Source organism: Homo sapiens, chromosome 15, assembly GCF_000001405.40.
Source record: "Homo sapiens chromosome 15, GRCh38.p14 Primary Assembly".
In the NCBI taxonomy this organism is placed as follows: Eukaryota; Metazoa; Chordata; class Mammalia; order Primates; family Hominidae; genus Homo; species Homo sapiens.
The window spans coordinates 78512444-78536882 of NC_000015.10; the positions used below are offsets into that span (position 1 = coordinate 78512444).

Here is a 24439-nt window from a genome sequence, read left to right on the forward strand (position 1 = left end):
CAGGCTAGAGTGTAGTGGTGCGATCTTGGCTCACTGCAGCCTCGACCTCCCATGTTCAAGTGATTCTCCTGCCTCAGCCTCCCGAGTAGTTGGGATTACAGGCGCCCACCACCACGCCCAGCCAATTTTTGTATTATCAGTAGAGACAGGGTTTCACCATGTTGGCCAGGCTGGTCTCAAACTCCTGACCTCAGGTGATCTGCCTGCCTCAGCCTCCCAAAGTGCTGGGATTACAGGCTCGAGCCACCACGTCCAGCCCCAGAGCTGAATTCTTACTGTGACTTAATATGTAACTTTGGGCAAGTCACTTAACCTCTCAGGACCAAAATTTCCCCTATAAAATTAATGGGGGAGGAGGAGGGAATGGACGAAGTGATACCAAGGTGCTTTCCTAGTCTGTGTTTGGGAGGTAAGTTTAAAAATAATTTGTCCTATAAGAATTTGTATGCAGTTGTCAAATCATCTACTTCTTGATCTTATTCACTGATTTGATTTTCTTTTTAACTTTATGAGTAAAACTTAACAATCAAAAGAAGTACAGAATCAACAGAAACATTACTGGTCTGTCTTGAGAAAAATCATTTAAATAAATATATTCATCCTGTGTCCCCTTTCTGTTTGTTGCTTTTTGTTCCCCTAGACATAATGTCAAGTGGAAACTATCAGCAGTCAGAGGCTCTTAGCAAACCCACTTTCAGTGAGGAACAAGCCTCTGCGTTAGTGGAGTCAGTGTTTGGGTTGAAAGTTTCCAAGGTCCGGCCACTTCCTAGCTATGATGACCAAAACTTTCATGTCTACGTTTCAAAAACCAAAGATGGCCCAACTGAATATGTCCTCAAAATAAGCAACACCAAGGCTAGCAAAAATCCAGACCTGATTGAAGTGCAGAATCACATCATCATGTTTCTGAAAGCCGCTGGATTTCCAACAGCCTCTGTGTGTCACACTAAAGGAGACAACACAGCTTCTCTCGTGTCTGTAGGTAAGAGATGACCAATTCGCCGATCCATTACCTATCCAGACACATCACTGCATTTTGGCCACAAGTAGAACTATGAAGAGCAGGTTCATAATTCCAAGTGTAGATGTGGTTGTTATTATTTTTTAGCACCTCAATAGTACACCCTTAGAGGTGGTTGTGTTTTCGGTGCTGGGAGAAGCTACAGCGTCATCAAAGTGGTGATTGGTCCTCTGATTGAGTAGTGGTTAGAGCCCAATGTGGTATAAGTTTTCTGTTTAGAAAGGCCCTGACAGATAGTAACTAAGGGGACTTGTGGAAATCAGGGGAATATTTTTTGTTTGTTTCGTATTTTTTGTTTGTTTTGTTGGTGGTTTTGGGATTTTTTATTTGTTTGTTTGTTTTTTGAGACAGGGGTCTCACTCTATCACCCAGACTGGAGTACAGTGGCGCAGTCACAGCTCACTGCAGCCTTGACCTCCTGGGCTCAGGTGATCCTCCCACTTCAGCCTGCTGAGTAGCTGGGACTACAGGCATGCATCACCACGCCCAGCTAATTTTGTAGTGTTCTGTAGAGGCAGGGTTTCGCCATGTTGCCCAGGCTGGTCTTGAACTCCTGGCCTCAAGTGATCTGCCTTCATTGGCTTCCCAAAGTGCTGGGATTACAGGCATGAGTCACCATGCCTGGCCTGTTTTTTTGTTTTTTTTTTTAACCAGAAAAATAATAAAACATTTTTATTATTTAGAGAAGCTATAAATTCTGGTGTTGTGGTATAGTAGAAAGAATATAATACTGGAAATCAGGAAATCAGGAATTTTAGATTTTAGCTTTGTCATTACTGTATATGTGACCTTGGACACATAGACCACTTAAATCCCTAAGGCCGCCAGTCCTCATCTGTGAGACAGCCCTTTTCACCTCTAAATACTAAAATGCTGAGAATGGACCTAATTCAGCTCTTTAAGCAACAGGCTAAAACCAATTTCTTGAAATTTTTTTAAAGGTTCGAAATCTTGATTGTCTTTTTCTCTCTTAATTGTTCACCATTCTTTCTTAATTTGCATTGCTCCAAATACGTGAGGCCCATTGTGGTCCCTGAGACACAGTTATTGTCCTGTGTTGCAAACACAGGCTGTCCCACAAGAAGCCTGATTCTGGAAGTCATTTATTTGTACCTCACTCCCCTCAATTGTGAACTTATGAAAGAGTATGTGTTTTTGCTTTCATTTACCACAGTAAGTAATTTCTGTGTAGAGCTAAGGCCAGCAGAGTTAGGGCTATAATTTTGTTGGTATGTAAATGGCCAGTTCCAATGTTGTTAAGGTTTGTATATTCTACCTTCTTGCTTCATCCACTCAACTCTGCTTCATAGAATCCTGCCGAGCTGTTTTAGGTTAGCACATTTTTGTTGTTGTTCTGTAATTTCTGTTCTTTTCAGTAATACTTGCAGAGGCAGAATAGCTTCTAATTCTGTTATATCTAAATACCTCTCTCTCTCTCTCTCTCTATATATATATATATATATAAATAATTTAGTCAAAGGATATTTTATTCCATCCATTTAGATAGTGGCTCTGAAATCAAAAGCTACTTGGTGAGGCTGCTGACTTACCTCCCAGGAAGACCCATCGCTGAGCTTCCCGTCAGCCCCCAGCTATTGTATGAAATTGGAAAACTAGCTGCCAAATTGGATAAGACACTGCAGGTAAGATTTGGGGCTTTATTTTATTCTAAGGGATGTTTGTTTGCTTGTTATTTTATTTTTAAAATAAAGTATGGATCAGATTCTCTTTTTATGTATGGTGCTACCTAAGGTATGTTATGAAGGGAATGGAGTCCTAGAGTGCATACATTTTATGACAGTAAGGCTAACTTCTACCTAACTCTTACTGGTGTAGGCCAGGTGTTGTGGCCCACGCCTGTAATCCCAGCGCTTTGGGAGGCTGAGGCAGAGGAATCTAACTTGAGACCAGGAATTTGAGACCAGCCTGGCCAACATAGTGAAACCCCATCTCTTCTAAAAAACACAAAAATTTAGGGCATGGTGGCGTGTGCCTGTAGTCTCAGCTACTTGGAAGACTGAGGCAGGAGAATCGCTTGAGCCAGGAGGTGGAGGTTGCAGTGAGCCGAGATCACACCACTATACTCCAGTCTGGGTGACAGAGTGACACTGTCTCCAAAGAAATTTTTTTTTTTTTTTTTTTGAGACAGAATCTCGCTCTGTCGTCCAGGCTGGAGTGCAGTGGCACGATCTTGGCTCACTGCAAGCTCTGCCTCCCAGATTCACGCCATTCTTCTGCCTCAGCCTCCCAAGTAGCTGGGACTACAGGTGCCCACCACCACGCCCGGCTAATTTTTTGTATTTTTAGTAGAGACGAGGTTTCACTGTGTTAGCCAGGATGGTCTCGATCTCCTGACCTCGTGATCCACCCGCCTCGGCCTCCCAAAGTGCTGGGATTACAGGCGTGAGCCACTGTGGCCAGCCCAAAAATTTTTTTTAAATTAAAAAATAAATAAATCTTACTGGTGTGTTGGAAAGATTACCTAAATTTTTAGAAATTCATGATATTCTTCATGCTGCTCACTGAAAACAGTCAATATTCACAAATAGAAACCTGAAGATTTCATCCAGTCACAGTATAATCAACTGGAGCCCCATATAAAGCAATAGCTAGGTTGCAAATGGATTAATAATGTATGTTAAGGATGTTTTTGCCCTATAGAAACAATATAATGTATGACAGGTACCTTTTAGACCCACCCATAAAACATCTTCATTTATTCAATATTGACTGAGTACCTTTTATGTTATTTAAAAAAAATCACAGGACAAAGGAAATATATTTACTATTTATTAAGTGGAAATGGATCATCATAAAGGTCTTCATTGTCATCCTCATTTTGAGTGGGCTGAGGAGGAGGAAGAAGAGAAGGGTTGGTCTTTTTTTTTTTTTTTTTTTTGAGACAGGGTCTCACTCTGTCTCCTAGGCTGGAGTGCAGTGGTACAGTCACAGCTTAATGCAGCCTCGAATTCCCAGGCTCAAGCAATCCTCCCACCTCAGCCTCCTGGGTAGCTGGGACTACAGGCGTGTGCCACCACACCCATCTAATTTATTTTTGTATTTTTTGTAGAGATGGGGTTTCACCATGTTGCCCAGGCTGGTCTCAAACTCCTGAGCTCAAGCAGTCTTCCCGCCTCTGCCTCCCAAAGTGCTGGGATGACAGGCATGAGCTACCCCATGCCTAGCCAGGGGATTGGTCTTTGTATTAGGCCATTCTTGCACTGCTATAAAGAAATACCTGAGACTAGGTAATTTATACAGAAAAGAGGTTTAGGCCAGGTGTGGTGACTCACGCCTATAATTCCTGCATTTTGGGAGGCCAAAGCAGGAGGATCACTCTAAGGCCAGGAGTTTGGGACCAGCCTAGGCAACATGGTGAAACCCTGTCTCTACTAAAAATACAAAAAATTACCCTGGCATGGTGGTGCATGCTTGTAGTCCCAGCTACTTGGGAGGCTGAGGTGGGAGGATCACCTGAGCCCAGGAGGTTGAGGCTGCAGTGAGTTATCGCACCACTGCACTCCAGCTTGGGTGACAGAGCAAGACCTTGTCTCAAAAAAAAAGAAAAAAGAAAGAAAGAAAGACATTGCTCCACTTCTTGCTTGCATCAGGTCCTTTTCTTTTCTTTCTTTCTTTCTTTCTTTCTTTTTTTTTTTTTTTTTTTCGAGACAGAGTTTCTGTCTGTTGCCCAGGCTGGAGTGCAACGCTGTGACCTCTGCCTCCCGGGCTCATTGCATTATTTCTGACAGGAAATCTGCCATCAGATCGTCCCTCTGAATGTAATGTGTCTTTTGTATGTGTGTGGCTGCTTTTAAGACTTTCTCTTGAGGCCAGGCAAGGTGGCTCACACCTGTAATCCCAGCACTTTGGGAGGCTGAGGCAGGCGGATCACTTGAGGTCAGGAGTTCAAGACCAGCTAGCCTGGCCCACATGGCAAAACCCTGTCTCTACTGAAAATACAAAAATTAGCTGGGCATGGTGGTGCACGCCTATAATCCCAGCTGCTTTGGAGACTGAGGCAGGAGAATTACTTGAACCCAGGAGGTGGGGGTTGCAGTGAACCAAGATTGCACCACTGCACTCCAATCTGGGTGACAGAGTGAGACTCCATCTTAAAAAAAAAAGAAAAAAAATTCTCTTTATCTCCAGTTTTGAGCAGTTTGATTAAGGCGTGACTTGTATAGTTTTCCTCATGTTTGTTATGCTTGTCATTCACTGGGATACCTTGAGTGGATATACTGAAGTTACTTGGAAGCAGTTTGATCCTTTTGGGTCATGCTTTTACTACTTGATAGATGGGACCAAGGACCAATTTACTACTGATCAAAATCCTTCAGTGTCCTGTGAGCTGTGAGGTTTTCCAGTGTGGATGGTAGGAACAGGCACTCTTCCTGGCCCTGTGCGTGCCATGTACTCTTCCCTCTAATCTTTTCAGGTGGCTCGTTCCCCAGTTTTGAGTAGTTTCCTCACATTTACACATGGGTCATACACCCATCTGCTAATTTCTCAAGGGGGACATAATGCAGATCCCTGAAGTGCTTTCTCTCTGCAGCTCTCCCATCCCTGGTAATCTGTCCTGCAAACTCAAACTCCTTTGGTCTCCCCAGACTCTCAACTCTACCTCCTCAACTCAGAGAGTCCTCTGGGCTCCGCCTGGGTCTTCCCTCTCTGCACTGCATCCTCTGTCAAGGCAGTGAGCTGGGGCAAACTGCCCTTGTGTGTTTTATTTTTTATTTTTTTTGAGACAGGGTCTCACTCTGTCACCCAGACTAGAGTGCAGTGGCACGATCTCAGCTCACCGCAACCTCCGCCTCCCAGGCTCAAGGGATTCTCCTGCCTCAGCCTCCTGAGTAGCTGCCACCACCGCCCGGCTAATTTTTTGGTATTTGTAGTAGAGACAGGGTTTCACTATGTTGGCCAGGCTGGTCTTGAACTCCTGACCTCAAATGATCCACCCACCTTGGCTTCCCAAAGTGCTGGGATTATAGGTGTGAGCCACCACACCTGGGCCCCTTGTTTGTTTTCATTCTCTCAGGGATCACTGTTTTTCATTGCCTAACGTCTAATAACTTGAAAACCAGTGTTTAACGTATTTTGTCCACTGTTTTTGCTTTTTCTGGCAGGAGGGTAAGCCCCGCGTTACACCCCTATTGGCCAAAAACTGAAGACCAGGCCGGGCGCAGTAGCTTACGCCTATAATCCCAGCACTTTGGGAGGCCGAGGCAGGTGGATCACCTGAAGTCAGGAGTTAGAGACCAGCTGGCCAACATGGTGAAACCCCATCTACTAAAAATACAAAAATTAGCCAGGTATGGTGGCGGGCGCCTATAATCCCAGCTACTGGGGAGGCTGAGACAGGAGAATCACTTGAACCCAGGAGGCAGAGGCTGCAGTGAGCCGAGATTGCACCACTGCACTCCAGCCTGGACAAGACAGAGCAAGACTCTGTCTAAAAAAAAAAAAAAAAAAAACTGAAACCCCTGTTGCAGTGTAAATAGTATTCATTTATCCTTAGATCCTCAAATAGAAATATTGTAACCTTTTTTTCTGAGTAAAAATCCTTCCATGATCCATTATTTAAAGAAAACCAGATAAAAATACAAAGAAAAATTAAGTTACCACTAATTCCATCATCCAGAGATGACATTCTCTGAACCATTTATTCCATGCGCCACGCTATTCCACAGCCCCAGGGGCATACTTGGTGCTCAGCATATGTTTATAAACCCACAGACCTTTTTCTATACTTACAATAATCACCATTTTATATTGCACTCTATCCGTTTATTCAACAAATATTTATTGAGCTTCTGCAAGGGTTTGGGTGGTAAACATATTAAACATTTCCGTCAAAATAGTTTTCAAGTAAGTTTGAGCAAATTCATTTGTGGACTTTTGTTAAAATGTTCATTTGTTCACAATAATATAAGTTGGATTTAAATAGCCCTTTCTAATTAATATATTTTTAGGAAATCTTCACATATTAATTTTGTTTAGAAAAACCTTTGAACTGGGCCGGGCACAGTGGCTCACTCCTATAATCCCAGCGCTTTGAGAGGCCAAGGTAGGTGGATCACTTGGGGTCAGGAGTTTCAGACCAGCCTGGCCAACATAATGAAACCCCATCTCTACTAAAAATACAAAAATTATCTGGGCTTGGTGGCAGGTGCCTGTAGTCCCAGCTACTTGGGAGGCTGAGGCAAAGAGAATCACTTGAACCCGGGAGGCGGAGGTTGCAGTGAGGCGAGACCGCACCACTGCACTCCAGCCTGGGTGAAAGAGTGAGACAACGTCTCAAAAAAAACAAAAACAAAAACAAAAACCTTTGAACTGATTGTAGTGCTCAATAAAGTCTGTCTACCTTCCTCAGACTTAAACCTACTATTGAGGTTTAAATGACTGTCTGTTACATAATAGTTTTCCTTTACCAGTAACCTTTCCTTCCGCCCTATCTGTGGGCTTCATTCATATGCCTATGGCCACTGAACTTTCAACTTTTCCTGCTATATTCTGAAAAAGCAATACAGTTTTAGAGGGAAATAGCACCACATCATTGCTGACAGTGAGTCAATTCTGCTATGCATTTAGGCACCTGCTGCTCTGCTGTGCAACTTTAAGTTGTCTTACAGAGGACGAGGGAGCTCTAGAGGGAACCAAGCATTCTTCATTTGGCATTACATGCATTTTATCATGCATTATTCCTGTTGCTCATCCCCTCACCCAGTCTCACCCCATGCCTTTGCAGGAGCTGAGTTCTTTATTTATTTATTTATTTATTTATTTATTTATTTTTATTGATCATTCTTGGGTGTTTCTCGCAGAGGGGGATTTGGCAGGGTCATAGGACAATAGTGGAGGGAAGGTCAGCAGATAAACAAGTGAACAAAGGTCTCTGGTTTTCCTAGGCAGAGGACCCTGCGGCCTTCCACAGTGTTTGTGTCCCTGGGTACTTAAGATTAGGGAGTGGTGATGACTCTTAACGAGCATGCTGCCTTCAAGCATCTGTTTAAGAAAGCACATCTTGCACCGCCCTTAATCCATTTAACCCTGAGTGGACACAGCGCATGTTTCAGAGAGCACAGGGTTGGGGGTAAGGTCACAGATCAACAGGATCCCAAGGCAGAAGAATTTTTCTTAGTACAGAACAAAATGAAAAGTCTCCCAGGTCTACTTCTTTCTACACAGACACGGCAACCATCCGATTTCTCAATGTTTTCCCCACCTCTCCCCCCTTTCTATTCCACAAAACCGCCATTGTCATCATGGCCCGTTCTCAATGAGCTGTTGGGTACACCTCCCAGATGGGGTGGTGGCCGGGCAGAGGGGCTCCTCACTTCCCAGTAGGGGCGGCCGGGCAGAGGCGCCCCTCACCTCCCGGACGGGGCAGCTGGCCGGGCGGGGGGCTGACCCCCCCACCTCCCTCCCGGATGGGGCGGCTGGCCGGGTGGGGGGCTGACCCCCCCACCTCCCTCCCGGACGGGGCAGCTGGCCGGGCGGGGGGCTGACCCCCCCACCTCCCTCCCGGACGGGGCGGCTGAGGAGCTGAGTTCTTAGTTTTTCTATAAGTACTAAGAATGTAGAGTCTATGAAAGATAATACACAAGTGTGGTATTTTAGTCATGTAGGCATGGCCGAGGCTGTGGCTGCTCTGCTGGGGACATGGTTGGGCCATTGAAGCTTCCAGCAGTTGGTCAGGTAGGCCTGTGGGATCCAAAGTAGGCAGGAGTTCTGGGGATTGTAGGGGCCAGAACTGAGGAGTTAACAAGTGAAGGGACCAACTAGTACTGGAATTTGGTTGCCATTTGGTCCTCAGATGGGCTGGAAGTCAATCTCAGGAGATTTCATTAATTATAAGAAAGAAGAAAGTATAGGACAGGCTTATGAGTATGATTGTGGTCAAAGCTTTGTACTAGAGGACACAAGATGCATGGGAAATGGGAGCTGGGGTATGGGGTGGAGAATGAGGGAGTTATTCGATTGGTGCAAAAGTAATTGCGGGTTTGCCATTACTTTTAATTGCAACACTGCAATTACTTTTGCACCAACCTAATAACAAGAGGAGGGCTAAGATAGGCTAATAGAGAGTACTGATTAAATTATCAAGAATTCAGGTTGGTGTAGCAAGGAGTCAAGAGGATAGAAAAGCCGGAGAAGTCAGGCAGATCAAGGACAACACTGATTTTAACAAACATGTATTGAGCACCTATATGTATGAAGTTTTCATTTCATGTCTTAGTGAGTCCACAATTGATTGTAAAGCTGGTAATTGATAGCTTGATTTTGCTATCTAAGGAAACTAAAATCTGGGATATTAAGTGGTAGAGCCAGTTGAAACCTAGATCTGTCTGAGTGAACCCCAGGATTCTTCCCAGTACCCCATACTAGAGCTGAGAAGTTCTATGGCTGCGTGGGTCAATCGTGCCATCATTTCAGAAGCTGACTCAGAGCCTTCCCCGAGTAGACTGTCACTCCACTGGAAACCCAACTAGAATATTATATTTCACTTCCTTTCTTCTTCTTTTTTTTTTTTTTTGTAATGAGGTGAGATCTCACTATGTTGCCCAGGGTAGTCTGAGCTCAAGCGATCCTCTCACCACAGCCTCCCAACTAGTTGGTATTATAGACATGAGCCATGACGCCCAGCTATTTTACTTTCTTTAAAAATAAAAATAATAAATATGCACAGTTAAAATTTCAAACAGTACTGAAAGGTATGAAATGAAGATTTTTTCTCACCACCATCATCTCCATTCCTCCACAATCCCACACTCCAAAAGTAATAGCTCCTAACAGTGTTTTTTCAGTGCTTACTCTGCAGTGCTTTTGTGATCTGCATTGGCATTTAACACACAGGATGTTAAATAAACAAAAGAGAAGACTCCGGTTCGAGACCAGCCTGGCCAACATGGTGAAACCCTGTCTCTACTAAAAAAAAATTTTTTTAATTAGCTGGGTGTGGTGGTGTGTGCCTGTAATCCCAGCTATTGTGGAGGCTGAGGCAGGAGAATCGTTTGAGCCTGGGAGATGGAGGTTGCAGTGAACTGAGATCACGCCATTGCTCTCCAGCCTGGGTGACAGAGTGAGACTCCGTCTCAAAAAAAAAAAAAAAAAAAAAAAGGGAAGACTCCAAAGCTGGGTGCGGTGGCTCACGCCTGTAATCTCAGCACTTTGGGAGGCTGAGGTAGGTGAATCAGTTAAGGCCAGGAGTTCCAGACCAGCCTGGCCAACATGATAAAACCCTGTCTGTACTAAAAATACTAAAAAATTAACCGGACATGGTGACACATGCCTGTAATTTCAGCTACTTGGGAGGATGAGGCATTAGAATCAGTTGAACCTTGGTGGCAAAGGTTGCAGTGAGCTGAGATTGTGCAACTGGACTCCAGCCTGGGCAACAGAGTGAGACTCTGTCTCAGAAAAAAAAAAGAAAAAAGAGAGAGAGAGGGAAAGGACTCCGAGGGAGCAGGAGTACTATCCTCAAAAATCTGGAGGACTAATCCTATTCCAGATGGGCCCAGAGGTCATAGTTGGAACCAGTGGCATGGATACTATTAGAGAGGCAGAGGCAGATTTTAACTGCACAAAAGGAAGAACACAAAGCCATCTCAATAAGGGTAAAAAGTACCTACCATGGGAAGTGTGTTAGTCCATTCTCAAATTGCTATAAAGAAATACCTGAGACTGGGTAATCTATAAAGAAAATGGGTTTAATTGGCGCATGCTTCTGCAGGCTGTACAGAAAGCATAGTGGCTTCTGCTTCTGAGGAGGCCTCAGGAAGCTTCTAATCATGGCGGAAGGCAAAGTGGGAGCAGGTGTCTTAAATGGCAGGGGCAGGAGCAAGAGAGAGCAAGCCGGGGGTGCTGCATACCTTTAAACAACAGATTTCATGAGAACACACTCACTGTCATGAGAGCAGCCTCAAGAGGATGGTGCTAAGCCATTCATGAGAAACCACCCCCATGATCCAATCACCTCCTACCAGGCCCCACCTCCAATACTGGGGATTACAGTTTGGCATGAGATTTGGTGAGGACACAGAGCCAATCCATATTATGCTGCCCCTGTCCTCCCAAATGTCATGTCCTTCTTCCAATGCAAAATACAATCATCCTTTCTCAACAGTCCCCCAAAATTTTAACTCATTCCAGCATTAACTCAAAAGTCCACAGTCCAAAGTCTCACCTGAGACAAGACAAGTACCCTTCTGCCTATGAGCCTATAACATCAAAAACAAGGTGTTTACTTCTAAGATACAATGGGAGTATAGACATTGGGTAAACACTCCTATTCCAAAAGGGAGAAATCAGCCAAAAGAAGGGACTACAGGCCTCATGCAAGTCCAAAACCCAGCAGGGCAGTCATTAAATCTTAAAGCTCCAAAATAATCTCCTTTGACTCCATGTCCCACATCCAAGGCAGACTGATGCAAGGGATGGGCTCCCAAGCCTGGGGTAGCCCCACCCCTGTTGCTTTGCAAGGTTCAGCCCCTGTGGCTGCTCTCAAGGGCTGGTGTTGAGTGCCTGTGGCTTTTCCAGGGGCAGGGTGCAAACTGCTAGTGGATCTACCATTCTGGGGTCTAGAGGATGGTGGCCCTCTTCTCACAGCTTCACTAGGCAGTACCCCAGTGGGGACTCTGTGTGGGGGCTCCAAGCCCACATTTCTCCTCCACACTGCCCTAGTAGAGTTTCTCCATGAGGGCTCCACCCCTGCAGCAGGTTTCTGCCTGAACATCCAGGCTTTTCCATACATCCTCTGAAATCCAGGCAGAGGTTCCCAAGCCTCAACTTTTACACTCTGTGCACCCACATGCTTAACACCACTTGGAAGCCACCAAGGCTTCTAGCTTGCGCTTTCTGAAGCAGTGGTCCAAGCTATACCCGTACCATACCCCTTTGATCCATGGCTTGAGCTGGCACAACTGGGACGTGGGGAGCAATATCCCAAGGCTGTGTAGGGCAGCAGGGCCCTGGGCCTGGCCCACAAAACCATCTTGTCCTCCTAACCCTCCAGGCCTGTGATGGTAGGGGCTGCCACAAGTCTCTGAAATGACTTCAAGAACTTTTCCCCATTGTCTTGGCTATTAGCGCTTGGCTCCTTTTTACTTATGCAAATTTCTGCAGCCTTCTTGAGGTCAGGAGTTCGAGATCAGCCTGGCCAACATGGTAAAACCCCGTCTCTATTAAAAACACAAAAATTAGCTGGGCCTGGTGGTGGGTGCCTGTAATCCCAGCTACTGAGGAGGCTGAGGCAGGAGTATCGCTTGAACCTGGGAGGCAGAGATTGCAGTGAGCCAGGATCGCGCCACTGCACTCCAGCCTGGGCAACAGAGAGAGACTCTGCCTCAAAAACAAACAAACAAACAACAACAACAAAAAACAGGTCTCATGAGAACTCACTCACTATCACAAGAACAGCACCAAAGGATAGTGCTAAACCATTCATAAGAAACCACCCCTATGATCCAATCACCACCCACCAGGCCCCACCTCCGATATTGGGGATTACAGTTCTACATGAGATTTGGTGGGGACACAGATCCAAAACATATCAAGAAGTATTCAAACAGGCTACGTGACTATTTAGCAAGAAAATGCTACTGATAAGAGAATTATCAGGGGAAGGTTCTCAAACTCCCGGTCATAATAGTGAGTACTGAAATCCATTTAGAGGAACTTTTTTTTTTTATTTTTATTTGTTTATTTATTTTTGAGATGGAGTCTCGCTCTGTCGCCCAGGCTGGAGTGCAGTGGTGCGATCTCAGCTCACTGCAAGCTCTGCCTCCCAGATTCATGCCATTCTCCTGCCTCAGCCTCCCAAGTAGCTGGGACTACAGGCACCCGCCACCACACCCAGCTGATTTTTTGTATTTTTTAGTAGAGATGTGGTTTCACCATGTTAGCCAGGATGGTCTCGATCTCCTGACCTCGTGATCTGCCCGCCTTGGCCTCCCAAAGTGTTGGGATTACAGGCGTGAGCCACCATGCCCAGCCTAGAGGAACTTTTAAAAGAAATCTAATTTTTAAATTTTATTTTTTATATATATATTTTTTGAGACAGAGTCTCACTCTGTCGCCCAGGCTGAAGTGCAGTGGCGCGATCTCAGCTCACTGCAACCTCCGCCCTCCAGGTTCAAGCGATTCTCCTGCCTCAGCCTCCCAAGTAGTTGGGACTACAGGCACCCACCACCATGCCTGGCTAATTTTGTGTATTTTTAGTAGAGACAGGGTTTCACCATGTTGGCCAGGCTGGTCTCGAACTCCTGACCTCAAATGATCCACCCACGTTGGCCTCCCAAAGTGCTGGGATTACAGGCATGAGCCACCACGCCCAGCCAGAATATAATTTTTAAAAACACCAGAATATGTCACATGTAATGGTCTAAGTGTTGTTTACTGAGACTTTTTCTTTATATGTGTGTGCCTGTATACTGGGGTTATGATGTAAAATATATTTCTTACTGCAAGTCATGCAAAAAAGTTTGAAATCAACTTCACTGGATGACCATCAAAGCATCTTCCAGCGCTCACTCTGTGAAAGAGGTCTCAACTGTGGGTCACAAGATCCAGGTCCTCCCTCAGCCTTATAATAACAAGTCGTTATCCCTCTATGAATCTGTTTCCCCATTTGTGCAATGATAGTGAAAATTATTTACAACTTTAGATAGAGTGGTCAAAGTCTAAAGGCCCTTCCAATTCCAGAATTTTTTAATTCTAAGAACATCCTTTAATTCAGCAAATATTGCTCAAGCAGTGCCTTCAATGTGCCAGGCACTGTTCTAGGTGTGGGGATACAGGAGTGAACAAAACAGACAAAAAACAGCCCTATCCCTCATGGAGCTTATATTCTAGTGAGAGTAGACAGTAAAATAAGTAAGTGAACTATGACAAATGTTAGCAATAAGTGGTAAGAAGAAAAAATAAGCAGAGACGACAGGTACAAAATATCAGAGAGAGGGTTGAAATTCTAGATGGAGTGGTCAGGACATTCTCACAGAGAAGGCGTTTTTTGAGTAAAGACCTGGTAGAAATGACGGCACTAACCATGTGGATATCTGGTGAAGGGCATCCCCAAAAAGGGAAACAGCAAAAGCAAAAGGCTGTGAGGTGGGAACGTGCCTAGCATGTTCCTTGAACAACAGGGAGGCCAGGGTGGTTGGAGTAGGTGAGCAAAGGCAGTAGAAGATGAAGTCAGAGAGGTTACAAGGGGCATGGGTGAGAACAGAGTTCTTTAGAGCTGCCTCCAATTTCTTTTGTAAGCTGTGGGCAATAATGCCTATCTTTACATAATTATGAGGATCAAGTGAGCTGGGAATGTGCTCCCCAAACTGAGAGATCCTGCACAGATATGAAGGCTTACTATTTTGTGAGTTAAAGTAAATGGGGCAAGTCAATGACCATGAGAGAATGCCAGCTCTCTCCCTCACAGACTCCCTGGCCAGTCTAGAGCAGGTAGTCTTCTGAAGCAGCACATCTCTTGTGACAGTGAGTGAGTTCTCACAAGACCTGGTTGATTAAAAATGTGTAGCACCGGCCGGGCGAGGTGGCTCACACCTGTAATCCCAGCACTTTGGGAGGCCCAGGTGGGTGGATCACCTGAGGTCAGGAGTTTGAGACCAGCCTGGCCAACATGGTGAAACCCTGTCTCTACTAATAATACAAAAAAAAAAAAAAATTAACCAAGCATGGTGACATATGCCTGTGATCCCAGCTACTCGGGAGGCTGAGGCAGAAGAATCGCTTGAACCCAGGAGGTGGAGGTTGCAGTGAGTCGAGATCGTGCCACTGCACTCCTGCCTGGGCGGCAGAGTAAGACTCTGTCTCAAAAAAAAAAAAAAAAAAAATGTGCAGCACCTCCCACCTCTCTCAGCAGTGGTTGCTCTGTCAAGAGACTAAGAATATCTCGCTTTTGATTTAGAGATTCCATCACCCAAAGTTAAGTAGTCTTCATCGGGAGAACTTCATCTGGAATCTGAAAAATGTTCCTCTTCTGGAGAAATACCTGTATGCCCTGGGCCAGAATCGAAACCGAGAGATTGTTGAGCATGTCATTCATCTGTTCAAGGAGGAAGTAATGACCAAATTAAGTCATTTTCGAGAATGTGAGTATTCTCCCAATTAAGTATTTTTCTTGATATTTAAACTGTCCAATTTCATATCATCAGAAAAGTATGGAGGTACAATTTAGCTTTATCAAATCTTAAAATTTTGCCATATTTGCTCCTATTGCTTTTTAAATAATAATATTTTTACTTTCCTCAAAATTGCTACATTTGAAGCCTCCTCTAAACTTTACATGAGTCTACCTCTCTTCTTCCCATTAAATTTGCACATTACATATGTATGATTTATAAATTATTTATAGTAGGGTTTGTGTTTTTCAAACTTTATATCAATGGTATCACACTGTGTATTATTATTCTGCAACCTGCCTTTTCTATTCAGCATGTTTTGCAGATTGATCCATATGAATATTTGTAGTTTTAATTTAGTTTATTAGTTTTAACTGCTAAATAGTATTCCATAGTATGAATATACCATAATTTATTTGCATGTACTATAATTTTTTGGTCCATTCTCTTGTTAATGGAATTTTAGGTTGCTTCCCATTTCTTTGCTACATAAATTATGCTGCAATGAACCCTCTAGTACAGGAGTCCCCAAACCCCAGGAACTGGGCCACACAGCAGGAGGTGAGCAGAGGGAAAGCAAGCATTACTGCCTGAGCTCTGCCTCCTGTCAAATCAGCAGCAGCATTTGATTCTCATAGGAGCACAAACCCTACTGTGAACTGCGCATGCAAGGGATCTAAGTGAGAATCTAATGCCTGATGATCTGAGATGAAACAGTTTTATCCCAAAACCATCCTTCCGCTGTCTCCTGTCCATGGAAAAATTGTCTTCCATGAAACCAGTCCCTGATGCCAAAAAGGTTGGGAACTACTGCTCTAGTATATATCTATCTCCCTGTGTACACAGACAGGTGTTTCTCTAGGCTATATTTCTAGATATAACCAGCCTTTTCATCCAGCATTAAGTACTGGTCAAAGGCAAGGAACTGGCTGGGTGTGGTGGCTCCCGCCTGTAATCCCAGCACTTTGGGAGGCCGAGGTGGGTGGATCACTTGAGGTCAGGAGTTTGAGACTAGCCTGGCCAACGTGGTGAAACCCTGTTTCTAATAAAAATGCAAAAACTAGCTGGGCATGGTGACGCGTGCCTGTAATCTCAGCTACTCAGAGGCTGAGGCAGAAGAATTGCTTGAACCCTAGAGGTGGAGGTTGCAGTGGGCCTAGGTTGTGCCACTGCACTCCAGCCTGGGCAACAGAGCGAAATCCGTCTCCAAAAAAAAAAAAGGGCAAGGAACTGAAGGGCATTTCTATCAAGGCCTAAGATAGGCAGTATGTGTTTCTCAGTGTTTCCTTACTCCGTGTAAACACAGTGTAAGGTGTAGCGTAAAAACAGAGTTGATTTTTTCCCTTCAAACCTGTTTTTCCCCCAGTCTTATTCATCTCATTAAAGTTGTATCCACCATTCACCTAGTTAATCTGGACAAAAAGTTAGCAGTCATAGGCTTCACTTTGTGCTTTCTCTCATGTCACAAATCCAGTCAAATTCTATCCATTCTTTCTTCAAAGGAGAGCCTATGATCTGGATGATTGCAGTAGCCTTATAACTGGTCTCCCTGCTCCTACTCTGCCTCTCTACCATATATATTCACTTGTCTTCCCTTTTTTTTCTCAATACTACTTTTGTAAGATTCTGCGTGTCATTGCATATGCTAGAGTTGGTTAACTTTTATAACTCTAGAATATTGTATTCACTAATATACCACACATTATTCTACTCTTAAAAGATACTTGGGTTGTTCCTTATTTGGGGCTATTAAGAACAGTGGTGCCGTGAACATGCTTGAGTCTCAGTATACATGTTCATTAGTCTTTGAGTGTATACCTTGCGATAGGATTGCTAGGTCATAGGACATGTCTATATTCAGCTTCACTGGATAATAACAATGTTTTCAAAAGTGGTTCTATGAATTTATACTACAGCTAGCAGAGTGTAAAAGTTTTCATTGTTCTACACCCTTGGTGTGGTCAGACTTCTAAAATTTTTCTCAATCTGATTTGTACATAATAGTTGATCATCACATCATGGTTTTAAAATCCATCTCTCTATTTATTGGCCATTTGAAATATATTCTTGAGAAGTGCCAAATCAAGTCTTTGGCCTTTTTTCTATTGAAATTATTTTTTTCTCATTGATTTGTAGAAATGCTAAATATATTCTGGATATGAGTCCTTTACTAGTTATATGTGTTACAAATATTTTGTCCCATTCTGTGGCTTGTCTTTTCATGGTACAGTATGTTTGGATGCATAATTCTAAATTTTTTTTTTGAGGCAGTCTTGCTCTGTCACCCAGGCTGGAGTGCAGTGGTACGATCACAGCTCACTGCAGCTTCGACCTCCTGGGCCCAAGCGATCCTCCCACCTCAGACTCCCAAGTAGCTGGGACTAACCTATCCACCATCATGCCTGGTGAATATTTTTATTTTTGTAGAGATAGGGTCTCTCTATGTTGTTCAGACTGGCCTCAAACTCCTGGGCTCAAGCGATCCTCCCACCTTAGCTTCCCAAAGCACTAAGATTACATGAGCAACCGCACCAGGCCCCTGTTATTTTTTTACAGCTTTATTGAGATATAGTTCACAAACCATGAAATTCAACCATTATTTATTTATTTTTTTTTTTTTTTTTTGAGCTGGAGTCTTGTTCTGTCACCCAGGCTGGAGTGCAGTGGTGCAATCTCAGCTCACTGCAACGTCCACCTCCTGGGTTTAAGAGATTCTCCTGCTGCAGCCATCCAGGTAGCTGTGGCCACAGGCGTGTGCCACCATGCCTGGCTACTTTTTTTGTATTATTATTCATGGGTATTTAGAAGTATAAATCCTGTTCCCCAAAATATGATGAACTTTTTTGGTTATATCTTATTGTTCATTTCTACTGTAATTACATTGTGATCAGAGAACATACTTTATATTAGTGCTGTCCAGTAGGATTTTCTTCAATGAAGGAAATGTTCTATATCTGTGTTGTTCAATACAATAGCTCCTATGTGGCTATGGGCATTTGAAATGTGGCTAGTGCTACTAAGGATATTCCTTAGGACTTTCAATTTTATTTAACCTTATTGAGCTAAAAAATTTTTTTTTATAGCTGGGGCTACAGGCATGCATTACCATGCCCAGCAGATTTTTTTTTTTATAGAAATGGAGTCTCACTATGTTGCCCAGGCTGGTCTTGAACTACTGGCTGCAAGCGATCCTCCCACATCAGCCTCTGAAAGTGCTGGGATTACAGGCATAAGCCAATGCACTCAGCTTAAATCCTGTTTTGGTTTTTTTTGTTTGTTTGTTTTTGTTTTTTTAAGACAGAGTCTCACTCTGTTGCCCAGGCTGGAGTTCAGTGGCGTGATCTCGGCTCACTGCAACCTCTGCCTCCTGGGTTCAAGTGATTCTCATGCCTCAGCCTCCCTAGTAGCTGAAATTATGCACCACCACACCACGTAATTTTTGTATTTTTAGTAGAGATGGAGTTTTGCCATGTTGGTCAGGTTGGTCTTGAACTCCTGGCCTCAAGTGATCCGCCCACCTAAGCCTCCCAAACTGCTGGGATTACAGGCGTGAATCACCACATCCGGCCCTCCAGTTTGAATCTTAATGAATTTAAATAGCCACATATGTCTAGTGGCTACCATATTAGACAGATCAAGCTCTATATGATTTCAGTCAATTCAAAAGTACTTTATCATGTGGTATTTGGTAAATTTTTATGAATGGTTCATGTGTGCTTTAAAAGAAAGTATATTCTGCAGTGTTGGGCATAAAGTTATATGCCCATTAGGTCAAGTTTGTTAATCATTTTTAAATTTTCTGTAACTTTCACTTACATTTTTGTCTGCTTTTTCTAACAATTATTGAGTAAAGCACATGTTAAAGTATATTTTAATCCTACTATGATTACAGATTGCCTATTTTTTGCTTGTATTTCTGTCAAATTTTGCCATATATATGTATATAAAATTTTTTTGAGATAGAGTCTCGCTCTGTTGCCCAGGCTAGAGTGCAGTGATGTAATCTCAGCTCACTGCAATCTCTGCATCCCAGGTTCAAGTGATTCTCCTGCCTCAGCCTCCCGAATAGCTGGGACTACAGGTGCCCACCACCACGCTGGCTAAATTTTGTATTTTTAATAGAAACAGGGTTTCACTACGTTGGATAGGCTGGTCTCGAACTCCTAGACTCAAGCAATCCACCTGCCTTGGCCTCCCAAAGTGGCCAAAGGGATTACAGGCATGAGCCACTGGGCCCGGTCAAATTTTACCTTATATATTTTTGAGTCAATTATATAATATATCCCAATTTCAGAAATACGTAGTTTAAAATCTATGATTTACAGTAATATTGTTTCTATGTGCCCACTCACTGTTACATTGCTTAAGCATGATTTACACAATCCTAAATCATATAGAAAAAGTCAGCATTATATTTAAAAGTTAAAATTATATACTTTATATCATGTATATGACTCAGGGCTTCATTGCTCATGGACACTTACATCTCTTACTAATCTTTAGTTGGTGGCTTAAATCCGTGCTTCTTAGACTATCTATGGTAAAAGACAAGTGTGGGTTTTTTCCCCCAACCCATTACAGTCTGACATATGGTCCTACTGTGCATGATTCACGTACAGTTCATGCCACATGCAACTAACCATGGGAGTTTGACAAAACTTGAACTCGTGTACGCTCCATTCAATGAGACAAGGCCACTGATCACACTCTTGGATGTCATATCCCTGTAAAATTTTCTAAACACTCTCAACTCTGTTCTTATCTCATGGAGACTAGTAACATTTTGTAGACCAGCACTGGCCATGGACCCCACTTTGAATAGTACTGACTTAAAATATCACCACCTATTTTAGTAATCAAAAAAAGGGAAATTTAGAATTACCATGTTATCAGAAAATTTTGTTTAAAATCCTAGCTGAGGCCAGTCACAGTGGCTCAGGCCTGTAATCCCAGCACTTTGGGAGGCTGAGGTGGGTAGATCATTTGAGGTCAGGAGTTTGAGAGCAGCCTGGCCAACATGGTGAAACTCCGTCTCTACTAAAAATACAAAAATTAGCTGGGTGTGGTGGTGGCGCACCCCTGTAATCCAGCTACTCAGGAGGCTGAGGCAGGAGAATTGCTTGAACCCAGGAGACAGGTTGCAGTGAGCCAAGACTGTGCCACAGTACTCCAGCTGGGCAACAGAGTGAGACTCATCTCAAAGAATAAAAATTTAAAAATAAAATAAAATCCTAGATGAAAATAAAGGTAAATCTGGTCCATTCTAGGACTCTTTGTTTCTTCTAACAATATGAATGTGTTTCTATTCTTTTAAACATTTCTGGGTTTAAGCAGTTCTTTTCACTTTACTCTTCTAATGGCCAAAATCAGGTATTTGTAGTAACTGCAGTCTCCAGCTTCTGGCCTTGTACTGATGAGAAGCAAAAGCAAAACCACCACCCCAAATTAACTGCTTTTATTCTTTTCAGAGGAAATTATTTTATTTCAAGAAAAATAGGGCCTGGCCCTTTATCTCTGACTGCTCATCAAATTATGGCTTTGCCTATGAAAGAGAAATGGAAGGGGAATGAATTGGGATATTCAATAACTGTTTTTACATGATTTTTCTACTTTCAGGTATCAATCACGGAGATCTTAATGACCATAATATTTTAATAGAGTCCAGCAAGTCAGCCTCTGGAAATGCTGAATATCAAGTGTCTGGGATTTTAGACTTTGGTGACATGAGCTATGGCTACTATGTGTTTGAAGTGGCAATTACCATCATGTACATGATGATTGAGAGCAAGAGTCCTATACAAGTAGGAGGCCATGTCCTTGCAGGGTTTGAAAGCATCACCCCACTGACAGCTGTAGAGAAGGGTGCTTTGTTTTTACTTGTATGCAGTCGTTTTTGTCAGTCACTTGTCATGGCTGCATACTCTTGCCAGCTATACCCAGAGAACAAAGACTATCTCATGGTTACTGCAAAAACCGGGTGGAAACACTTACAGCAAATGTTTGACATGGGTCAGAAAGCTGTAGAAGAAATCTGGTTTGAAACTGCCAAATCCTATGAATCTGGGATCTCCATGTGACTGAGATCTCCATGTGACTCAAAGTTCACTTTAACTTGGGTAATTAAAATAGGACCCAGTCAAATTTTAGGAAGGATTTTCCTGCATAGTTAAAAATCAACTGATGGAATGGATCAATTCTGAATATGACAGAGCACATGAAATCCCTAAGGTCTTCAAGCAATCTCGTGACAATTTTTTAAAATTCACAAAAGTACCACAAGCAAGCATATTTTTCTGTGAGTCTTACTTGCCATATCTATAAAACACATATAATGATACCATTTTGAAGCAGATAATCTCACAAGATCTATTCCTGCCCTGAGATTAATGACTATTTTAATTTTAAAAATAATATATACATATAGATATATTGACATATTTTAAATATCTGGACATAACATACTGACCTAGATAACATACTACCAGTTCTATGAAACCTCCTCTGATCTCTCCTTTCTCTAGAATCCCAGTGCATTGTGTCTTTTTCATGGCCCATCACTTTGTATAATGGATCGTGGTTGTGCAGTCATCTTGCCTGAGAGCTACTGAGGGCGGAGACCATGTAAAACTTATTTTTGTCTCCTCAGCCCTTCTTTTTTTTTTTTTTTTTTTTTTGAGACGGAGTCTCGCTCTGTCGCCCAGGCTGGAGTGCAGTGGCACGATCTCGGCTCATTGCAAGCTCCGCTTCTCGAGTTCACGCCATTCTCCTGCCTCAGCCTCCTGAGTAGCTGGGACTACAGGCGCCCACCACCACGCCCGGCTAATTTTTTTTGTATTTTTAGTAGAGACAGGGTTTCACCGTGTTAGCCAGAATGGTCTCGATCTCCTGACCTTGTGATCCACCCGCCTCGATCTCCCAAAGTGCTGGGATTACAGGCATGAGTCACCGTGCCCGGCCTCCTCATCCCTTCTTATCACACCTGCTATTATAGTGCCTTTCCTACAGAGAGGTCTTTAAAAATATTTGAAAATAAATGCGTGCTAGAAGAAGGGATGGAGAAGGCACACACTAAGATGCTTTAGGAGAAAGCATTGACAGCATTCTTGGAGAAAAAATTTTAACTTGTCTGAGAGGGTGGTTGAAACTGGAACTCCAGAGATAGATGCTGGAAGACCCTGGGAACTGCAAGGAAGCAAATAATGACATCCAGGCAAGGCCACTAACCCCTGAGCTACTTAAATATAATGGTTCCTTTCAGACTGATACCAGGAACCTCCTTAAGCATATAAGCATATATTTTTTAATTCTCTATAATCTGTTTCTTTTTGGATGACTATGAAGTAGATTGGGTAGACTGAAGCTCACTGTATTCTTGGCTGACGGTATCCCACTGTGTTTCCTTCACTGGTTTCTCGTCATGTCTCCTTTAGTATGATTTAGTAAATGGCTGTTTACTATTCTTATGATTTCAACTATTCATTGTCTACAGATGACTCAAGTCTAGAACCCTGGCCATTCAAATACTCAATAGTTATCTTTCTATATATATGAACAGGCATTGATCCTATCTCCATCTTTCTGTCTACCTACCTAGTCTTCCCAAACTAGATATTTCTCTAAATTGTCTTATATGGTTCATTTTTCACTTCTTTGTCCCTCAATTTCATTTCATTTCTTTTTCTTTTCTTTTCTTTTCTTTTTTTTTTTTTTTGGTGGTGGGGCGGCAGGGACAGGGTTTCACTGCAGCCTCAACCTCCTAGGCTCAGGTGATCCTCCCACCTCAGCCTCCCTAGTAGCTGGGACTTCAGGCATGTGCCACCATGTCTGGCTAATTCTTTAATTTTTTGTAGAGATTGGGGTAATACCTATCTCATAGAATTAATAGAGTTCATTGTGAAGATTTCATAAGAGAACAGTGCCAAGTGCTTAACACAGTGTGTGGCACATAGTTAGGACTCAGTAACTATTTACTCAATAAATGAACCATATTCCAGGTTACCCAAACTCAAAATATTGGAGTAATTTTTTGCTTGCCTCTCTTATATTCAGTGAGCCCTACTGGTTTTTAGAATTGTAGAATTTTAGGAATCTCTGTCTTTACTGGATTTTTTGTTTGTTTTGGGCTTTTTTGTTTGTTTGTTTGAGATAGGGTCTCACTCCGTCACCGACGCTGGAGTGCAGTGGTGTGATCACAGCTCACTGCAACCTCTACCTCCTGGGCTCAAGCAATCCTCCCACCTCAGCCTCCTGAGTAGCTGGGACTACAGGCATGTGCCACCATGCCCAACTAATTTATTTTATTTTGTAGAGATAGGGTCTCACTATGTTGCCCAGGCTGGTCTCAAACCCCTGGACTCAAGCAATCCTCCTGCCTTGGCCTCCCTAAATGCTAGGATTATAGGCGTGAGCTATCATACCCAGCCTGTGTTGTTTTTTAACAATATATAATAAAAGCCAACATTTATTCAGCACTGAAGTATTTTATACACATTAGCTCACTTAATTTTTACAACAAACCTGTGTGGGAAGTACTGTTATAATTAATCGTCATTTTCAGATAAGAAAATAGCAGCTGAAAAAGTAAAAATAATTTCCTCAAAGACAGCCAGGGCTTAAATCAGGCCTTTCTGATGTAGACCATGCTCTTCACTACCACAGAGTTCCATGCTACTTTCTCTCCCTCTCCCTCCTCTCCTGTCCCTGCTACACACACACACACACACACACACACACACACATGCACACTCACTCACACACACTAGGAGGAACAAATGAGATCATTCACATGAAAGCACTTATGTTTCTGAAATTTAAGGGACTGTGGTTTTTATCTAGGTTGACCTCTCAAGCTAAAAACTGGGAACCAGAATAATGGACTGAAACTTGGGTTTCACTTCCAGACCAGTGTTGATCCTCTGAATTGATGAAACTGTATAGATTTCCCTCTTGATTGCCCCTGCTAACATGGATTTCCTTTCACTCAATTCCTAATGCAAATATTGCTGACCACTGTTTAGATGTTTACATGCTGCATTACATTGATATTTTACTATTTGGTGTTTGTTCTAACTTGTCTCCAATCAATCAATTTCATGTGGTTTATATAAACTCTTTGGTGGCTGTGATGGTTAGTTTTAGGTGCCAACTTGCCTGGATTAAGGGATACAGAGATAGGTAGTAAAGCGTTATTCCTAAGCATGTCTGTGCGGAAGTTTCCAGAAGAGACTGGCATTTGAATCAGTAGCTGAGTAAGGAAGATCCCCCTCACCAATATGGGTGGGCACCATCC

The 24439-nt window shown here is 43.0% G+C and overlaps 1 protein-coding gene across 2 annotated transcripts in view; it reads left to right on the forward strand.

Annotated features, from left to right (window-relative positions):
• Positions 1-24439, forward strand: part of HYKK (hydroxylysine kinase) — a 29797-nt gene that overhangs the window by 4867 nt on the left and 491 nt on the right. Inside the window, exons 2-5 of one of the 2 annotated variants that reach the window (NM_001013619.4) lie at positions 641-982; positions 2525-2664; positions 14937-15120; positions 20767-24202. In NM_001013619.4, the coding sequence (NP_001013641.2) occupies positions 646-982; positions 2525-2664; positions 14937-15120; positions 20767-21227 (1122 nt within the window). In that variant the 5' untranslated portion in view covers positions 641-645 and the 3' untranslated portion in view covers positions 21228-24202. Of the gene's footprint in view, positions 1-640; positions 983-2524; positions 2665-14936; positions 15121-20766; positions 24203-24439 lie in introns of those variants that run through there. The other variant, NM_001083612.2, reaches the window with a different exon arrangement.